At 57.9% G+C, this 18,956-nt stretch overlaps 1 protein-coding gene and 1 long non-coding RNA gene across 9 annotated transcripts in view, besides 7 other annotated features; one reads left to right on the forward strand and one right to left on the reverse strand.

Annotated features, from left to right (window-relative positions):
* The window catches only part of SRCIN1 (SRC kinase signaling inhibitor 1), a 76,995-nt gene that overhangs the window by 25,037 nt on the left and 33,002 nt on the right, over positions 1-18,956 (reverse strand). For 4 of the 8 annotated variants that reach the window (XM_017025171.2, XM_017025170.2, XM_017025173.2 and 1 more), the window contains exons 4-12: positions 13,144-13,167; positions 9,051-9,246; positions 8,256-8,454; positions 7,760-7,853; positions 6,396-7,261; positions 5,266-5,358; positions 4,987-5,030; positions 4,518-4,705; positions 3,160-3,335 (exon numbers count right to left, since the gene is read on the reverse strand). In XM_017025171.2, the coding sequence (XP_016880660.1) occupies positions 3,160-3,335; positions 4,518-4,705; positions 4,987-5,030; positions 5,266-5,358; positions 6,396-7,261; positions 7,760-7,853; positions 8,256-8,454; positions 9,051-9,246; positions 13,144-13,167 (1,880 nt within the window). Of the gene's footprint in view, positions 1-3,159; positions 3,336-4,517; positions 4,706-4,986; positions 5,031-5,265; positions 5,410-6,395; positions 7,262-7,759; positions 7,854-8,255; positions 8,455-9,050; positions 9,247-13,143; positions 13,168-18,956 lie in introns of all 8 variants that reach the window. The other 4 variants (NM_025248.3, XM_017025172.2, XM_017025169.2 and 1 more) reach the window with 3 other exon arrangements.
* Positions 6,003-6,556: an enhancer, noted in NCBI's record as "H3K27ac-H3K4me1 hESC enhancer chr17:36717306-36717859 (GRCh37/hg19 assembly coordinates)". NCBI's record gives its function as "activates a minimal SCP1, AML or CMV promoter by ChIP-STARR-seq in naive H9 embryonic stem cells {active_cell/tissue: H9 hESC(naive)}" and the evidence as "EXISTENCE:reporter gene assay evidence [ECO:0000049][PMID:30033119]".
* Positions 7,110-7,662: an enhancer, noted in NCBI's record as "H3K4me1 hESC enhancer chr17:36718413-36718965 (GRCh37/hg19 assembly coordinates)". NCBI's record gives its function as "activates a minimal SCP1, AML or CMV promoter by ChIP-STARR-seq in naive H9 embryonic stem cells {active_cell/tissue: H9 hESC(naive)}" and the evidence as "EXISTENCE:reporter gene assay evidence [ECO:0000049][PMID:30033119]".
* Positions 7,663-8,214: an enhancer, noted in NCBI's record as "H3K27ac-H3K4me1 hESC enhancer chr17:36718966-36719517 (GRCh37/hg19 assembly coordinates)". NCBI's record gives its function as "activates a minimal SCP1, AML or CMV promoter by ChIP-STARR-seq in naive H9 embryonic stem cells {active_cell/tissue: H9 hESC(naive)}" and the evidence as "EXISTENCE:reporter gene assay evidence [ECO:0000049][PMID:30033119]".
* Positions 8,215-8,767: an enhancer, noted in NCBI's record as "H3K27ac-H3K4me1 hESC enhancer chr17:36719518-36720070 (GRCh37/hg19 assembly coordinates)". NCBI's record gives its function as "activates a minimal SCP1, AML or CMV promoter by ChIP-STARR-seq in naive H9 embryonic stem cells {active_cell/tissue: H9 hESC(naive)}" and the evidence as "EXISTENCE:reporter gene assay evidence [ECO:0000049][PMID:30033119]".
* LOC105371761 (uncharacterized) lies at positions 9,227-10,520 on the forward strand. Its single transcript, XR_007065740.1, has 3 exons — positions 9,227-9,457; positions 9,546-9,578; positions 9,809-10,520. It is a non-coding gene; the product is annotated as an uncharacterized LOC105371761 (long non-coding RNA).
* Positions 9,321-9,873: an enhancer, noted in NCBI's record as "H3K4me1 hESC enhancer chr17:36720624-36721176 (GRCh37/hg19 assembly coordinates)". NCBI's record gives its function as "activates a minimal SCP1, AML or CMV promoter by ChIP-STARR-seq in primed H9 embryonic stem cells {active_cell/tissue: H9 hESC(primed)}" and the evidence as "EXISTENCE:reporter gene assay evidence [ECO:0000049][PMID:30033119]".
* Positions 9,874-10,425: an enhancer, noted in NCBI's record as "H3K4me1 hESC enhancer chr17:36721177-36721728 (GRCh37/hg19 assembly coordinates)". NCBI's record gives its function as "activates a minimal SCP1, AML or CMV promoter by ChIP-STARR-seq in primed H9 embryonic stem cells {active_cell/tissue: H9 hESC(primed)}" and the evidence as "EXISTENCE:reporter gene assay evidence [ECO:0000049][PMID:30033119]".
* Positions 10,968-11,476: an enhancer, noted in NCBI's record as "H3K4me1 hESC enhancer chr17:36722271-36722779 (GRCh37/hg19 assembly coordinates)". NCBI's record gives its function as "activates a minimal SCP1, AML or CMV promoter by ChIP-STARR-seq in naive and primed H9 embryonic stem cells {active_cell/tissue: H9 hESC(naive and primed)}" and the evidence as "EXISTENCE:reporter gene assay evidence [ECO:0000049][PMID:30033119]".

Raw genomic sequence — 18,956 nt, forward strand, 5'->3', positions numbered from 1 at the left:
TACTGTATGCCAGGTGCCACACTCAGGCCTTGGCTTTCATTACTTTAATTAACCCTCAAAACAAATCCTGGAGGTGGGAACAGTTATTATCTCCAGCTTATACACAGACAAACAGTGGCTCAGAGCCTAGACTACACATCCCAGCCTCCCTTGCAATGATAAGTGGCCATTTAACTGAAGTCTACCCAATGGAAGATGAGTGGAAGGGATACATGCTGCTTCCAGACCTGGCTCACAAAAACCTCCCATGTAAGGTCCTCCATGCTCCTTTCTCCTTTTCCATTGGTTGGAAACTCTCTGGGTGATCTTGGAAAACACATGTTGAAGACGGCAGAACCTCCATCAGCCTGGGTCCCTGAATGACTGCATGGAGAAGAGCCACCCGCCTAACCCACCCAATACTGTTCCATGAGAAAGATATGTTTATTACTTTTGAATTATTAAACAATTTGGGAGCTTATTTGTTATAGGAAGCTACCCTAATTAATTAGCTATCCTAAGACTCTGGCATTTTAAAAAAAGGAAAAAAAGATATTCAGATATTCAAAGAGATTAACTAGTTAGTTCAAGGTCATACAGCTATTTTGCAGCAAAGCGGGATCTACTCACATCTGACATCAGCCATTGGTTCTGCTGCATCTCATTTTCACACTAGACCAACATCAGCCACGCTGCCCCCAATCCATACACTGTCCTAGCCCAGCCCTCGCTCTACCACATGGGAAAGAACAATTCCCCTGCTCATATGTGTAACACCTGACTGGTCCAGGCTGTGCCAGTTTTATAAAATGGTCACTCCCAAACATCACTCAGAGGGGGAAGAGACTCTCATGTAAAGGACTCAAATAAGCTTCCAGGAGATGACAACACTGCAATTCTTAGGCAGGAGAGACTAGGCCTCCCTAAGCTCAATCGGCAACTTGATGTTCTGATCACCCAATCTGCCAAAGTTGGGGGGCCTCTAACCTGGGCAAGCTCTGCAAATGAGTCCCAGGCCAGCTAGTCTAGACACTGGATTAAAATGTGGCTAGGCTTTCCAAGCCCAGGTTTAGTCCTGGAGGGGTCAAGAGGGGAGAGTCAAAATGGAACCAGCTAAATAATTTATGGGGCCCAATGCAAAATGAAAATGTTACCTCTAGTTTAAAAATTATTAAGAATTTCAAGATGGCAACAGCAGAGCATTACACCAAGCATGGGGCCCTTCCAAGCATGGGGCTCCGCGTGACCGCACACGTGGCATACCTACAAAGCTGGACCTGGGTTAGGCAAAGGTAGATTCCAGGACCTAAAAGGTCTCAGTCAGCAGAGGCTGCACCTAAAGGCAGTGCCCAGACAGACCTTAAGTGCTGGGCTAGATGGGCAGGTGAGTGAGTCAAGTTGAATGAAACAGAACCAGTTTTAACTTCCAGCAAGTTGCCAGGAAAGAGGAAGTGGTATAGCAAATTGGAGCAAGAGTAAGCGTAAGCTCCTGGAGTAACCACGAGCTACAGCCAGAGTGTGGGGCAGGGGGGCTGCAGGGTTAAAGCCTGGGAAGGCTATGGGAGCTGGGCAGGGAGGGCCTTCATGGCCAGGTTGGAGCCCAGTATCTGCCCAACCCAGAAGAAGCAGGAGTCCCCTTTCAGGAGGATGGAGAATCCTGCCAGAAACAGTAATGCAGGTCCCAAGCTCTCTGAGTAATGGGTTTGATAATGGGGCAGGGGTTGGGGAGTCTGTGTTCCTGGAGAACCAAGGCCTTCAGGGAGCCAAGGACCAAACACTTATAATGACGGTAGCATAAATCTCTCCTTTCGTATCTTCTGGCTCTGTGCTTTTAGATCTCCTTTAATTTTCCTTTAATGTCTCGGTAAAGTTGCTTTTGAAAATTCCAACCCCCCTCCTCTGGGCTGAATGAAAAGGGACAAGGAAAGGATAGAAAATCTGGAGAAATGGAATTCCCTGGGTGAGGAGAGATGACACCTGCCAGTCTGCTTGGAGATCTGGCTGGAGTCCTCACTAAGTTATCACACCTAGAGTGATGGGGTGGCCCCTTACCCTATTTCAGCCACATGGTGTCATGGGAATTGTTGCCTTGGGCCTTGCTAAAATGCACATGTACCACCAGGCTATGTGGGCCTCAGGCTGAGGAGCAGCAACCCATCTCAAGGAGCCCGTCGCAAGAGGCTCATTTATGACTTAGTGAGGAAGCTGGGCTCCAAGGAGCAGCCTCTCCTGGCTCCCGGAGTCACTGGCCAGTACAACTCAACCCCTTGTTGAAAAGAGAGGTGAAAAACTTAATGCTGGGTACAGATGAGGACACTGGGGCACAGAGAGGGGCAGGAACTGCCCTGATCACTCAGCCTCTCAGTGCTGGCACTGGACTCCAGGTCCCCTAGTGCCCTGTGTCACCAAGAGAGGGCCCAAAGGAAGGAGCAGGGCCTCTGTCTCAGATCCTTATCACTGGCGAGGGAAAGCAGGGTGGGTGCTCACTCCCTGAATGGACACTGAAAGGCAGCGTCTCCCTTCAAAGGTGCCAGACAATGGAATGGTTGGCCAGACAGCCATTTGCTAAATTTGGATCAGAAGACTGTCTTCTGTTAACCCCTCCATGCCTAAGCATGCGGAGGCACAGTGTTCGCGATTCCTCCTTCCTTCTGAAAACACTACAGCCCTGTTCCAGCTGCACTAGGAAGGAAGGTGGGTTTTCCTTGGCTATATCTGGACTCAGAGATCAGGGAATCGGATCTCCAATGATGGCTGGTCAGCGCCAGGCTGGAGCAGTGACGGCACCTGAACGCTGCACCTGAACTCACTACCCAAGGGTCACTTTGCACGGGTCACAGGCCAAAATGAAAGTAGGCAGAGGGCAGAGGGAAATCAGGCAGCTGGCCACATGACAGTGAAGCTGCAGGCCACAGGAAGCCTGAGTGTGGATCATTATGAAGCAAGACCATAGCAAAAGCAGGCATCAAGCCAGAAAAAAGAAATCAGGAATAATGCCAGCCGGTCAAAAGTTTGTGGGTCACAGTGAAATCAGGCCAGAGGAGAATGAAATCAGGCTTCAGAACAGACCAACGCCACCTGTGACTCAGAGGGAAGGGAGCTGCGCCTCCCAGGGAAACCAGGTTGCGGGTCACTCCAGCCGCACCCCCACCCCTCCCTCCGCCGCGGGCCCAGCCTCACTTGAGCTGCTGGGTAATAAGCTCCTCGTCGTTGAGATAGCGCAGCCGTTCCTCTTCCACCAGGGTGCGCTGCCGCTGCAGCGGGTCCTCCTGCCGCCGCGCCGCCTCCGACACGCGCATGCTCAGCTCTGCCTCCGTGCGCTTCAGCAGCGCGCGCACCGACTCCTGGTTCTGTAGCTGCGGGACGCACGGACGGATGGACCCGGGTGGGGGGAGCGGAGCCGCGAGGCAGGGGAAGGGCCGGGAGAAGGCGGGTAGAGGACTGCCCAATCCAGGGCGGGGCTCTGCAGAAGAAGCGGCTGCTTGGCTCCGCCTCAGGCAGCAGCGAAGGGGTGGGATGGCGAAGGGCAGGGGCGGGATGGCGAAGGGCAGGGGCAGAGGGCTAAGTTCTGGGGAAGAACAGAGGCAGGAGGAGAACGGATGGGGATCGTGGAGAGGGGAGCGTTAAAATGGGCCATGCAAAGGGGGAGCTGCATGGCTGTGGCCGCGAGCAGGGGTGGTATTGCAGGGGGAGGAGGGCAAGGTTAAGTTCTGGGGAATATGAGGCAGGAGAAGGGGTTGGGAATATTTGCGGGACAGGGTGTAGCCCTATGTAGGTCCCTGCCGACAGTGCGGCCGCATGGCTATGGCTTCCATCATCCCGGAATGGGGACGGGACTGGAATGAAGGACTCAAGCGCTGGCATTTGATAGAGCTTCTATGGCTGGGACAGGAAGACTAAGTTGATGATCGATCCAACCCTGTTCCAAGCCTGAATGGCGGGGGTGGGCAAGATCTTACCCGTTGCCCAGATGGCAATTCTCTGCCCCCTCCCCAGCCTGTCTCTGCTAATTATCCTCACCTGACGGCCCCTGGGCCTGCTTGAGGAGCGGACTCGGCGATGCCAAGCTCCTGACAGGTGGGACCATCTGCCAAGCAGGGCCGGGGAGACTGTTGGGGCTCAGGAGGGAGGAGCTGAGAGGACTTGGGGGAAGGGCTCTCGCTGACTCAGGGAAAGGGATGCAGGGCAGGAAGGAACTGGAACTGCCCCGAGGGATACTGACGACGGAGGGGCTCAGTGGGTGACTGGGGCTCCAGGAGGGCGATGGGGACTCAGGGAAGGAGAAGGAGGGCTCAATGAGGGGGTCACGGGCGAGGGATAAGGCCTTGGTGAGGAAGTGGAGGTTCAGCGAGGGAGCGGAAGCTCAAGAAAGGGGAAGGGGAGAAAGGGTTCGGAGAGAGGCCAGTGAGCGGCGAAGGACTCGGGCGTGGAAGCTCTGGGAAAAGGATGAGGTAGTAGGGGATGGGGCGGGACTTGCGGCAAGGGACTTCTACCAGTAGGTGGGCGTTGGTGGGGCGGGGCCCAGGACGGGGCGGTACCTGGAGCTTGCGCAACTGCTGGAGCTGGCCGCGCAAGTCACTGGCGCTGTTCTGCAGGCCTCGCAGGTGAAGCTGCATCTGCAGCCGGCTAACGGCGGTAGGCTGACCTGCGGGGGTGCTGCTGGCCGAGGGCGGGGGCGGGCCGGACACCGGGGTGGCCCCGCTGCTCCGGCCGCCTGACCCACAGGCTGCAGAGGACCACGAGGATGGGAGAAAGTGAACAAACTGTGAGCCTGGGAAGGACTGGGCTGGGACAAAGTCCTCCCTACTCTCCGACCCCACACAGTAGCCAGAGAAGCCCGTGGCTCTACCTGCCCCAAGTGGTCAGCCCTAACGGTGGGGACCAAAGTGCCAGGAAAAAGACCTCTTGGGCTAAGGCCAGTGATGTAGCTATTGCTTAATCCCCACTTTATAGATTAGAAAACAGGCTCGGAGAGAACAAGGATGGGGGAGGGGGAGGTTCACTCACGTGCTGAGGGGGTGGCTGCTCCATTGGAGCCTTCAATCTTCTCGCTGTGGCACAGGGAAAAAAGCCATCAGGGGGTCCAGGCCAGCCCCAGACCTTCAGAGCTGGGTGGAACCTTGGATGTCATCTCCTCCAGCTCTCCGATCTCAGGATGGAGTCCCAGAGAAGGGAAGGGATTCACCCAGGGTCACCCAGTGAGACACTGGCAGAGCCGATGCCCATTTCCCCTTCCTCCTGCTCCACCCCTAGGCCCTGGCAGTGGTGTTGGGAGAGGGGCCTCACCTGGGGGTCTCAGGCTCAGAGCCTCGCAGTAAGGCGCTCTGCACCAGGCCTGTGAGGCTGGCAATCTGCTTCTCCATGGCCTCCATGCGCTCCCTGGGGAGGAAGGGGGTCTGGGCAACCTCGCCTCTGAGCATAGGGTCTCTCCTGCCCAGCCCCCCATTCCTAAGATTGGTAACCAGAAGAAACACCGTCCCATCCCTGGCTGCCAAAACACAGACAACGCAAAGGGCCCCAATGCCTAAGGATCAAGCCCACAGCCTCCCATCTCACCTTTCATTCCCTCCCTAAAGGCTGCACGCTGATCTCTCCATGCCTGGCAATGCTTTCCCCTGCCTGCTCTGCCTTTCTCCTGACCCCTCCCCCAAACCATTCCACAGACCCCAGGGGCCCCGAGGAACGCCTCCTTCCATACCACCCAAGGGAAGTGGAGGTATGCTGAGTGTCTCCCCACTAGACCAGGACAGGAACTGGGTTTGCTCAGCTTGGCATTGACAGTACCCTGTGCAGCGCCTGCCACACAGGCCACGTAAGAGCTGTGTGAAGGCCAATGGCTTCTCTTCACTGCTCAGCAGCGCTGCCTGAGGGTGCAGATTACCTACTGCCCTGGTTACCTCCTCCAGCCCTGCACCCTTAGGAGGGGACTGAGCGATGGGCAGGGGCTCCTCAGCCTGGAGGCTAGGTACCCGAATGTGCTCCTTTCCTCGTCACCATTTTTCAACAGCACCCTCCTCCCCAGTGGACTTCAGCTGTCCCGGTGCTGGACAGCTCTCACTGCTGCAAACTCTTAAGCTGGAAAGCCACTAAAAGTGGTTCAACCCCTCAATTTTACAGTTGGGGAAACCGAGGCTTAGAAAATGGATGCAAACCCAAGTCTCCAGAGTCCTCGTCTGGGGACCTCTCAACCACCCCCTCCAGTCTTGCGGATGGGAGGAAAATGGCAAGCTGGTCTCTCCAATGCCCTCTCTGCCACATCCAAGATGCTCTCTGGCGACCCTTCAAGACTACTCAAGGTCTCCAAAGGACTCCAGGATCTCAGTCCAGGACACACACCTGCCACGGACTCTGCTGTGAACCCTCTCCGCAGCGCACCCCCCACCCCCAGTCCCTGAGGCCTGGTTAACGTCCCTCACCTGGTCTCCGTGTCCTTGGCTGGCACTGGCGGCCCGAACCCAACCAGCGAGCGTTCCCCAGGCCCAGGGAAGAGCTCCGAAGGGGGAGCTCCGGCCGTCGAGGCGCTCCCCGCGCTGCGGGTCTTCCCTCCAGGACTCTCGGCAAAGACGGACGAGGAGCCCGAGTCCTTGCGGAAGGACTGGCGCACTGGCGAGCCGCGGCTGGGCGGCCCCGAGTAGGGGCTGTGCGGTGGCGGGGGACCTCCGGGGGGTGCTGCCACGTCGGCCAGCTTCTGCGGTGACGAAGGCGGCAGGCGGAAGCCGTAGCCGTCGCCGTACAGCGGGCCGCCGCCGCCCGCCGCCTTGTACAGGGAGTCCTCCAGATCGGACTGCAGCGCGGCGGCCGAGTAGGTGCTGAGCGAGCGCACCGAGCCGCGCTTGTAGAGGCCGCCGGCGCCCGGGTAGGCGAACGGGTCGCCGGCGGCCGCGGCCAGGCTCAGACGGCCCTCGTGCAGCAGCCCGTAGGGGTCAGCATAGAGGCCCTCGCCTTTCACCAGCACCATGCCGCCCGCCTTGCTCGCCAGGTCCTCGTCCGGCTTCACGTCGCGCCGCTCCAGGATGGCGCTGGGGCTGGGGCTGACGCCCTGGGCGGCCGGGGCGCCTCCCAGCCTCTCGGCCGCGTGGTGCACCGGGCTGCCGGCGTACGAAGGCGGGCGCCCCCCGGCGTACGATAGGCGCGAACGCGACGGCGAACCGGACTGCAGCCCGGACGGCAGCCCCGACGGCAGCCCGGGCGGCGGCGAGCCGGATGCCAGGTGCGGCGCTGGTGACAGGTTGTTGAGGCGCCGCGTGGGCGAGGACTCCCGCGATGCGTACACCATCTCTCTCTGCGCAGAAGACAGCCCGGAACCCCACGGGGCTGGTCACCAAGGACACCCCTGTCCCTTGCTTGAGGAGCCAGCATCTCCTCCCTGACGCTTAGGAAGTCCCTTCTGCTCTCTGCCCTCCCTCCATCCTGCTGCGTCTAGGGTCCCTTTCCCATCAGGGTTCCTAGCATGGAGGAAAAGGTGGCCGATGAAGAGGCACCAGAGGGGTAACCCTCAGCTCAGCTACCGTGAGGGGTGGGAAGTAGAAGGGGAAGGGGTGGCTCCGGCTCCTGAGAGAGGGCTTAGAATATCTGGAGGCAAGTTAGCAAAATCCCGAGTGGACAGGCCCGGAATGGAGGGGAAAGTGGCAGGTGGGACAGGGGCTCTTCCCTAACCCCTCAGCCCCTATGCTGTCTTCTCCAAAGCTGGCCCTGGTTCCAGATGACAACTGCCCAGACCCTGCTCCCCTGGACCCCATGTGCCCAGCCTCCCCAATGCCCTGGGCATGCCCAGCCATACCCGGAGGTCCCCGTTGGTGAGATGTGAGCCAGGGAAGGCAGCGTAGAGGGGCTCCTTTCTGTAGATCTTGATAATACTGCGGTCCTGGATGTCCCTGGGAGAGGCGGGGAGACGGGGGTCACCACCCATCCCCCAGCTGTGCACAATGAGAAGGGATGGCTACTCCAGGCCTAGAGAAGAGGGGTGGCCAGAGGCACCGGGAGCCCCATCTCAGGCTGCCTGCACACACGCCCAGCAGCCTCCACCCCGGCCTCTTCCTGGCCTCCGGCGCCATTTTCAGGTTAGCTCAAAGCAAAGGGAACCAGCAGGGGTGGACGATTTAGGGGGTGGGGGCTGAGATGGCCGAGGAAGGGGGCGGGGCGGTAGGGCTCTGGGAGGGGAGGGGAAAGGCTGAGGTCGGGTCAGGAAGGAGCTGGGGAAGGGCCGGCGGGGTCCAGCACCCTGCAGAGGAGGAGCGTGGGGAAGCCCACCCAAATCCCCCCCGGTCCACGCCCACCGGACGTCCTCCAGCTCGTAGAAGACGTTGCGAGCCTCGTCTTTGATGAGGATGGCGGTATTGGGCGACTTAAGCATGCCCATGGTGAGCTTCTGCGGGAACATGTGCGCGATGAGTGCGTGCAGCGTGTCCAGGCTGCTGACCTCGTGCGTGATGTGCACGCGCCGAGTCTCCTCCCCGAACTGCAGGAACAGCACCCCTGCGAAGGAGACGCCGCCCTCGCTGTCACTGCTGCCGTCTCCACGCCGCCCTCCAGGAGAGCGCGGGGAGCTTTTCGGAGCTGCGCCAGCCCCGCAGCGGCAGGGTCTGAGGCTAGACGCCGCCCCCGAGTGCAGATGCACCCAGGCACCTCTCATGCTGCCGGCGGGGGCGCCAGGCCGGCTCTCCAGCCTCTCAAGGCACCCACTGGACTCCAGGCAGTTGAAGGAACTTGGACAAGGAAATGGAAGTGGGGGCAGAGCAGGTGGGGCGGAAACTGAGGGGAAGTGAGCTGAGGGAGAGAGAGGTTGGAGAGAGTTAGAGAAGGGAGATGGGAGAGAAGGGAGGGATGAAAGAAAGGGACAGAAAAGGAAGCAAGAGGGAGAGAGGAGGCTTGGAGGGAAAGGGGTCGGGTGGGGATGCTGAGGGCGAGAGAGAGATGGAGAGAGCTGGGGTTGCTTGGGGAGAAGGGGCTGTGGGAAAGAGAGCAGAGCTTGAGGCGAGCTGGCGTGCTGTAGGGGAGGAGGGGGCTCCAGGGAGTGAAGAGCAGAGGGAGGAGCCTGTGTGGGGAGGGAGGGTGGACTGGGCGGGCAGTACCTGGGGAGCGCAGCTTGGTCTGGCTGGCCGAGCGGGAGAGAGGCAGGCTCTGTCGGAAGCGGTTCATCCTGCTGAAGCCCAGGGGCAGCTCGGCCTCCGACATGGTCTCCAGCGACTCGGCGGAGGCGTAGGACAGCTTTGCCGCCTGGTCTGCCAGCCCGGGCTGGGCTCCCTGAGTGTGGCGTGAGCTGCGGGTCTGCAGGGGCCGGGCAGGGTGAGAGGAACCAAGGATGAGCACCCCCCCTCCCCTTTGCTTGTCACTGCCCATATCCAGGCCTGGGAAGGTCCTGCCAGCCAGCGACACCCACACAGATTACAGACTCCCACACAGATTACAGACTCCTGGCATGGCCACAAGAGAGTTCCCCAGTCTCTGCTGGCCTTGGCCTCCCTGGGACACCCGGCAGGTAAGGAATGGGCAAAGGACCCAGGCACCCTGGGAAGCCAGACAAGAGGCCATGTGAGTGGGAGCCATGGGCACGGCTGCTATTTCAGGCTTCCGAAGAACAACACAAATTTGTCACCGAGGTGAGCAGCAGAATCGTTGAGCAAATTGGGGCATTAGTTCCAGACATTAATTAAGTGGCAGGTTTGTGAGCGGAGAATTTATTCTTCATGGAGTTCAGAGGGTGGGGGTGGGGGTGGGGGCGGGAAGCAGGGCCCAGGGAGAAAGCAAAGAGAGCTGGCACCCCAGGATCCCAGCTTTGAGGGGATGCGGACCCTGACAGAGCTGGACACAGGGAATGTGCCTGATTTAGGGTGATTGAGAAAACTATCCCGAACTCCTCAAAGCCAGCTGGACCCGGATTTGAGACGACCTGCCCAGTGCCCACAACACACATGTTAAGTCTGATGTGACACACATGTGCCAGGCCTCAGCCCCTCCTTGCAAGGCACATGCTGCCACACAGCCAGCCAGCCTCCCCCAGGAGCCTCTGAGTGACGGCAGCCACTTCTCTGAAGCTGTAGCTGAGGCTGATATCTGGCTGGGGGTGGGGGAGGATGTCACAGGACAGCTTGATGGCTCTCTCCGTGGGGGAGGGGGAGTCAGGATGATTTCAACCGTACTTTAAGAGCCTACTTTTGGCTGAAACCTGGGGATGTCACTCAGGGCCACAGCCCCTGACATTCTGCCTTAGTCCCTGGGCAAGAAATCTGGTTGTTGTACAGAAGCTGGTACAAGGAGTGAGATAATGAATCCGATCTACATCATTCCATGTTATGTGCATTATATACATATATGTATTACATATACATATACTGTCAAGAAATAATCATGTTGCCCAATTATATTTTTTTGTAAAACAAATTGTCTATTTTTAACAACAAATCACTCAAAACCATTAACACTGGTTATCTCAGGGTTGACAGTTTTCTTTTTTCACTTTATAGATTTCTCTACAAAACGGTGTGAATAGATTCCTTTTATAATTTAAAAAAAGACAACAATAAAATATCTCTAAAAAGGAATCATTTATTCTCCTCTTCAGCTCCCTCTCTCCCCAATTCCTGATTTACCCCTAATTAATCTCCATCTTCATATTAACTCAATTTAATGTTCCAATTGGATTAGCACTCTTAAAGGGAGAGCATCTTCTTCTGATGGGCAGTATGCCCAGCTGTCCCCAAGGTGGCCTTGAGGGTTTGGGGACCATAATAGATCAGACGTGGGGACATCAGGGAGCTTCCCCTCTCAAGCATAATGCCTTGACCACTGGGTGGGTGTGGGTCTTGGCAGGAGGAAGGCAGCATAGAAATGGGCCAGGGGCAGTAGGGAGGGGCCGCTTGTGCTTGTGACCGAGAGGCTATGGCTCAGCTCTAGGCTGACCACCAGTGCCAGCCCACACCCCTCTGTCTCACCTTCATCCCAGCTGAAGGGCGGGGAGCTCTGTGGCAGTGTGGGGAACCAGGTCTGGTCTGGTGGTCATGGGGTTGCCTGGCAACTAAAAGGTCAGTGGTTGCCAGGCTAGTGCGGATGAGGGCTACAGAATTCAGGCAGCACGAGGCAGCCAGCAACGATGAAGAGTAGGGGGTGGCCATGGTGCCGGGGGGACACCAGTGAGATGCCAGTAAGGAGGCAGAACAGGGGTCCAAATGAAGGGAGGCAGGGCAGGGATCCTGGGGGTTGCTGCCTGCCAAGAAGGCAGAAACCCTGGGAGAAGAGATGCCCACGTTCCCTGCTCCACCACTTCCTAGCCCAGTGGGCACCTTTCCATTCTCACAGCCTGTACAGAAAACCCTCTCGAGAGGAGGGAAAACCTGCTGGCACTTCTCTCCATGCTTGGGCTGAGACAATAGGGCAGAGGAAAGTGAAACATCCAGGACTTCCCCACCATAAGGGAGATGGCAGAAGAACAAAACAGTGATTCAAGCAGAGCTCTCCCAAGACAGGAGAGGGACCACCATGGGAGGTAGAGAGCGCCTATCACCAGAGTGTTCCAGGGAGCAGCTCATGGATCTGAGATTCCCAGAGGTTGTCCATAGACTAGGGAAGAATCACTTGGGAGCTTTTAAAAATACCTTTCCAGGACCCCATATTCACTGAACCAGAATCTCTGGGGATTGGAGCCTGGGGTTCGAGATTTTTGACAAGTTCCTAAGGCGATTCTGATTTCTAGGTTTGAGAATCAAGGCAGAGTCTATGATTTAGTAGCTAATGAGGTCAGCTACCATGTAAGGCTCACCAGGAGCCAGGCACTGCCTGGAACATGCATCCTCTCGTGTTTTGTTTTGTTTTGTTTTGTTTCGTTTCCTTCCTTCCTTCCTTCCTTCCTTCCTTCCTTCTTTCCTTCCTTCCTTCCTTCTTTCTTTCCTTCTTTCTCTCTCTCTTTCTCTCTTTCTTTCTTCTTTTTTTTCTGAGATAGGGCCTCCCTCTGTCACCCAGGCTGGAGCGCAGAGGTGCAAACATAGCTCACTGCAGCCTCAATCTCCCATACTCAAGTGATCCTCCCACCTCAGCCTCCCTCCTTGGCCAACAAGTTCTCACTACATTGCCCAGGCTGGTTTCAAACTCCTGGGCTCAAGCATTCCATATGCCTCGGCCTCCGAAAGTGCTGGGATTACAGGCGTGAGCCAGCACATCCGGCCTTTTTTCCCTATCTTTACAACAATTCTATGATGCAGACATTGTCGTTCTACTCTACAGAGGAGAAACCAAGGCTAAGAGGATATGTGGCTTGCCCCAGGTCACCAAGCTAGTTAGCAGCAGACTGTATGGAATTCACCACTACGCAGCCTGGCTCTTGGGTCCATGCGCTTAACCACTACCCTCAACTGCCTCCTCCAAAGAGGCTATGCTTGACAGTGTGACTTTGACTCCATGATTCTCTGATTCAAGGACTTCTTGCAGTGCTAGGAAGAATGCATGCAAATAAGACACCTGGGGAGTCTGGGTGGGATGCCTCCCACCCGCTGTCATGATGCCTGGGACTTGGGAGGCCAGAGACTCCAGGAGGCAAGCAGGTGCCTGAGGGTGCTCTCCCAGGGGTCAACAGGATACCCTGGGAGGGGCAGACAGCTGTCTTAGCTCTGGAAAGGCCAGAGCTCAGGAGGAGGCAAGAAGGCACCTATCCCTCAGCTTAGCCCTCCACTTAGACAACAGGCTTGAGGGTGTAGGACCATGAGTCTCCTGCCTAGCACGGACCAGCCCCCATGGTGGACAGTAAGAAAAGGAAGGGGGACCCATCACAGTCACAGGGCCTCCCTGGGAGGTGAGATATGAATTCAAAGAAGAGGGCCCACAACAAGGGTCTAAGTCCCTAACTCAGAGGCAGCAGTCTCTCCAGGCTGGGGAAAATGTATGTCATTTCAAAATGCCCCTCAGGGGCTGGGGATGCCTGGGGACTGAGCATCTCTAGCCCAGATCCCCAGCAGGGGTGGCCCAAACTCCTACTCCATCCACAAGCCCCTGACAGGCGAACCCAGACTCTCCCAAAGCAGCAGCCACAGCCTGCAGCCCCGAGGCCCACCGCCCATACCAGAAGGTGTCCGTGCAGATGCGCACCCCGGTGCAAAGCCTGTGCAAGGGAGAGGCAGGGGCAGGGGAGGGAGAGCACATGCAGTTGTCATGGGAGCAGAGGCATCACACACTGACCTTGAAACTCCAGTAGTTTGGCTGCTGATGGAAATAAGAGAAGAGATGGTTATGAGGGGGCCCAGGAGGGGAAAAGAGGGGCAGGGGCAGGTTAGAGACCCTTGGAACTCAGCACTCAGCCCTAGGACAAGGGCCCTCCACCCTCCCAGGAGCAGGAATGAAGTCATGCCTGGTACATCCATTCTCTACTGAGACCTGGAACACCATGGTGTACCCAGGATGGCCCTGAGCAGGCGCTACAGCGACTCCTCGCAGAGTTACTGGTGGGAAAAGGCACAGAGGATGGTGATAGAGCGAACCCATGAGGCAGTCACAAGAGAGGCAGCGACAAAGCTGAGCTGTGGGGTCAGAGAAATGGCAGGCCAGGGAACAGTGCTTGGAAGAGGTGGCATTTGAGTTGGGTCTGGAAAAACGAGCAGCTGGAGACTGGAAGGAGAGGCCTGCTGGGCAGAGGGGAAGTGCCCAGGGGCAGACAAGTGGAGGGGGGTTGAGGCAAGTCACTAGTCCACATTGGCTGGGGCGCAGCTGGGAAAGTAGCAGATTAGGCTGCAAAGGGTGGGAAGTGGGAGGCTGAGGCCAGATGATGAGTGGTCATAACTGCTGAGAGAAAGTATTTAGACTTAACTGGGTGGACAAGCAGAAAGTGTCTGAATGGAGCAGAGTGGGATCAGAACTAGACCCCGGGGCAGAGGTGGATGGGGTGGATCAGGATGGATGGGGCAGGGGTCGGAGGAGGGGGGCTGGGGCCCAAGGCCAAGAGAGAGAGGCCTATGCAGCATGGTGGATCTAGTTTACAGAGCAGAGTGGCCAGGTGCCAGGAACCTCACTCACTGGGCAATCAATGGCTGGGGAGCTGGGGGCAGTGAAGGGAGTTGGGGAGACTGGGGACTGTGGCTGGCTGGCTGATTGAGGAGGGCTCCTCGTATCCCTCTTAGCATCCCTAGAATGGGAAGCCAGAGAGTCCTCCTCATTTGCAGTAACCCAGGGTCACCCTTCCTTCCCTAGAGACCAGAAGGCCCTTCCAGATGGCTTAGTACAAGGAAAGAGCTGCCCTGGGGCCGGGTTGGTTCTTGGCAAAGCCAAGGCACCCTGCTGACCGGTGCCAGCCTCAGCAGGGAGACAGAGGCAGCAGATGGCCTGGCCCGGGGGTGCCTGGCACGAGCAGACAAGATCCCCAGGCCTTAGAGCCACTGGCAGAGGAGAGGGACATCGAAGGCGCCCCTGGGGGAAGAACACCATGCCAGGGTGTCCTGGGCCACCTGAATGCTTTCCTGGCAGGGAGGAGTTGGAAGGGGCTGAGTCGAGGGGCACTCCGGCTGGAGGCTTTACCTAAGGCAGACCTTTGGGGTGGGGGTGACACTGGGCTGGGGCTGGGACCAAGAGGGTCATTTGCCAAGACCACCCCCTCCTAAGCCACCATCCCCATCCTTCCCCCAGCATTCACGCTAGAAAACAAACAAACAAACAACAACAACCAAAAAAAACAGTCACATACCAGGCAGTAGAAGAGGACAACAAAGTCTGTGTCCCAGCCAATGCTTGGAATCATCTATGGACTGAGGCCACCCCCAGTGGTGCTAGGGGATGCCCACAGGTACTGAGGGTAGGGGAGACCAGGGACCAAGTAACAGGCTCCAGCGGCAGCTGACTGTGGCCTGGGGAAGGGGAGGGGTAGCAGAGGGAGTGGACACGTGGGGGCAGGCAGAGGACACCGGAAGGTTTATGAGGACAATCACGTCTGCAGACCCAGCGGTGATGGACCGCTCTGCAGAGAAGGCCTCAAGTCCCTTACCCACCACTACCATGACACCAGGCACGGGCGGCGCACACATGGGCCACCCACAGCGCCCCGCAACACACAGGCTCACGCACAGCTGAGCACAGACTCTCAGACACATCCTCTGATAAGGACATCTCCACAGACACACCCAGAGCGACACACACACACCCCTACTAAGAGAGGGGCTCCCCAGTCAGAAACAGCCCTGGAAACAAACAGAAACTCAGAGACAGAGACATTCACACATAGACCGCCCCCACTCATACACAAACGTGTTTGGCTCCCGCCAGACCCCTGCCTCGCTTACACACACTCACAAGCACCATAGCCAGTCACAGAGGACAAGAGGTGCTGATGGCATTCACACTCACCCTCAAAACACCACAGTCACAGAAACAGAGACACGGGTGCCCACTCACAGTGAGAGACACACACCCCGGCTATTGAAACACACACACACACGGCCTCAGAGCCACCTACGTACAAAGAGAAAGCCCCAGGTCAGGGTGCCACTGTCCCATGCCTATCATGTCCCAGATATCATAAGTCAGGGAGGTGACCTCTGATGCAAAAGAGATAGAAGATGTTCTGTCCCCCACCCTGCCACCAGTGTCAACACATCAGACTCAGGGTACCTTGTTCGGATGACTGAGGCCCACCTCGTGGTCCTGGGAGGGAGATAAAGACAGGGCCTGGCCACAACCACACTGGCTATGGCCTCCACATGGGCCTGCCCCAGGGTCCCAAGGCTGTGCACATCCATGGGGCAGTCACCTGGAAGGGACGTATCACTAGCAGCAGCCAAGGGAGAGGACTGGGTGGCATCAGTGCCATAGGAAAGGCCAGCCAAGCCCCTCAAAGGATAAAGATGGAAGAGGGGCTGCGCTTGTGCCGGTCACTTGGATGCATGAGAGATGTTGAGATCAAAATCTGGAACTTCAGGCTCTGATCTATAGAGCACATGAGTGAATCCTGCCCCTCCATCCTCTGTCCTCCCTCTGGAAAGTGGGAAGAATGATCCTCTTTCATGTTGACCCCACCAGGAACGAGACACAGTCTCTTGGCCACTCAGTGTCTCTGGCGAAGAGAAACTGTGGTGGGGGAGGCCTCTGGGGATATCATCCATCCCCTTCTCTGTCTCTTTCCAGGATTTTAACCCATGGGACAGACTAGCGTGACTGAGAGCAAAGGGCTCCTCTAGTGTTCTCTAAGGTGGGACATTCCCAGTCACTCCCCTTCCAACTTCCAGCACCCTGTACCTCCTCACCCCTTTCCAGGGTGTCTGTTCCTCCTGCTGTGCCCAGTACAGTACCTGGTGGATAGCAGGCACTCAGCAAGTATGTGACAATGAATGAATGTCAATAAAATAGGACCGAGCCATGGGTGGAGGGTGGGATCTCTGAATACTCTGGTCTGGCACCACTCCCTCCATCTCCTGGCACCCAGCACTGCTCAGCCTTCTGGGCCTTTTCCCTGGGAATTTCCCAACACCAGAAACCCCCCAGTTAGGAGGGCAGAGGGCAGGAAGGGCCAGGAGAGGTCTGGCTGTCCACCTCAAGCCAAATCTTCCAGTGCCAAAGCTGTCTCCCTCCCCCATAGTCAGGGAGGGGGTCTCACCTTCCCAAAAGACAGTGAAAGGGGGAAATAAAGAAAGGGGTGAGTAGGGGAGACCCCGGCAGGGGCAACCACTTGTGGGGAAGAATCTTAAAGGAGCTGGGGCAAAATGAGAGGTGTTCTAAGAAGGTAAGATGGAAGCATAGGACCCTAGGGACCACGCTGTGAGAAACGGGGGAAAGGAGTGTCTCTCAAGGCCCAAGGAAGCCAGGCCAGGGAGTCCTCAAACTCCTGGTGAGAAGAGGAAACAGCTTCTTCTCTCTGGGAGCTAAGGAGTTAACTCCCTTCCTCTCTCCTCCATCCTAGCCACTGGTAGAGGGGTTCCTACTTCCCCTGCTGCTGGTTTTCCCCCCCTCGGCCCTCATGCCCTGGGAGGGGAGGGGCTAGGGCCCCTGGGGAGGCTTGGCCCAGCCAGCTGAGGTCTCTTTCCTCCCCTGGGCAGGCATCCCCAGCAGGTTCAGTGAGCAAATGACCCCTCCTTGACCTCAAGCCCTGACCACGCACCTTCCAAGGAGGGAGGGCAACCCACGGGTCCACACCGGCTCCTTAATCCCCTGGCTGTGCTGCACCGGTGCACACACCCACCTCTCAACTCCCATGAACACGAGTCAGCGTAAACACTCGTCCCCCGGGCTGGGGCTAAGCCACTCGCCCCTCCTCGGGCGCCTGCCCCCACCGCGATGTACATGCATGACCCTCTCTTCCAGATGTGTGGATGACACCCTCATCTCCTTCCCAATGCAGAGTGTGTGTGTGGGTGGGTGGGTGGGGGTGCTGTGGGACGCTGGGGAAGAGGGCGCACCCCGGGAAGGTCATGACTTTCCGACGCTGGGGGAGGGGGCGCCAGCCTGATTTTGGAGTGGGGGCCGGCCCACGCCGAAGGCACCTAATGCGGTGGGGGAGGGGAGGAGGCGTTTCTCAGGGATCGGGAACCTGCAATGGCCTGGACGTCCCCCACCCCTGGATGGCTCTCGGTGCCGCGGAGCGGGCCCCCATCTCCGTGTCCCCGCCCCCCGCCCAACCCGAGGCGGCGATCCCGGCCCCCACAGTCGCTCCCCCTTACCTGCGGCCACAGGTGTACGTGCGGGGTCCCCAGCCCCAGGTCCTGCGTCCGGCTGGGGAGGGAGGGCCCCTACTCCCACCCGCCCGGGCTCTTCTCTCCCCCGGCCGCCTCCGCAGCCGCGGCCGCCGCCGCCGGTGCCCTTTGCTGCAATGCGAGAGCCGCCGCGGCCGCCGCCGTGCCGGCCCGGGCCCCAGTCGCCCCGGTAACCGCGACTCCACCTGGCGCGGCGCTGCGCGCCGCCGTGCACATCCCCTCTCGCGGCCCCCTCCCTCGGCGCGGCCCCGCCGGCGCAGCCCCGCAGAGGAGCGGCGGAGGCTGGTGGCTGCGTCGCCGCGGTCACCCGATACGCCGGCCTGGCGCCCGGGACTCGGGTTGCAGCAGGAGGGAGGGAGGTTAGACAGCCTGGTGGAAGCCGGGGGAGGGGCTTTGGCTTGGAGTCCAACCTCTGGTGCCCTCCCAGGATCCTCTTCACTGCCCCCATCCCTAAAGGTCCCGCCTGGTGGAGGATCAGGGAGGGGACAGTGTTCTGCCTCCTGCTCAAACTTCAGAGCCCACAGCCTCTCCCCACCGGGGTCTTTGCTGTGCACCTTTGGCCTTTAACTCTCCCGTGACTTAATCCTTAGCCAAGTCTGGGAGGCCTAGGATGCCTAAGTTTCCTAGATGGCCTCTCATCCTGCCCTGCTGTGTGGTTCTGGCCTTTCCAAAGTCTCTGGTCCTGCACTTAACAAAAGGGAACCTCAGACTCAGCCTTAGGGGCAGGGAGTGTGATAAGTATCAAGTGATGAAAAGATCCTATGCACAGACACTTTCCTGGTTAATTACAGAGCCCCAGGAGGAAGGTCTGCTCAAGCGCTCCCCTTTCCTCCATCAGAGCAGATCCCAGATGTGGACAGGCCAAAATCCCCAGCTCCCCCAAGCCCCTGACTTGGGACAACTGAGCTCACCCAGTCCAGCCTCACTCCTGTCCATCATCCAACCCCTATCACAGCCCCAAGATGCTCCATCTGGGGAGGACCTCTGGGCAGACAAGGCACCACAACCCTACCCATGCATATCACATCGTCCTCTGTCCTATCACCATCCCTGTCCTAGCCCCACTTTGGTCTCCGCCATGCACTTGGCCATTCAGGACAAGTCTGTCCCACTTGCCATCCAGCCTTGGGGGCAGACACATTCCTGTTCCCCAAAGTTCAGCCAAGATGGGGCTTGGGAACTGGGAAAGAAATTGGGCTGAATGCCCTGTGAGTGATGACAAGCATGCCAATCTGTTACTAGACTTGAGTTACACTCGGCTAAAACATCCTCCCTCTGAAGGCCTGTCATTTCCTAGGTGGTCACAATTTTCTTTCTCTTAAT

Source organism: Homo sapiens, chromosome 17 (assembly GCF_000001405.40).
Source record: "Homo sapiens chromosome 17, GRCh38.p14 Primary Assembly".
Taxonomy (NCBI): Eukaryota; Metazoa; Chordata; class Mammalia; order Primates; family Hominidae; genus Homo; species Homo sapiens.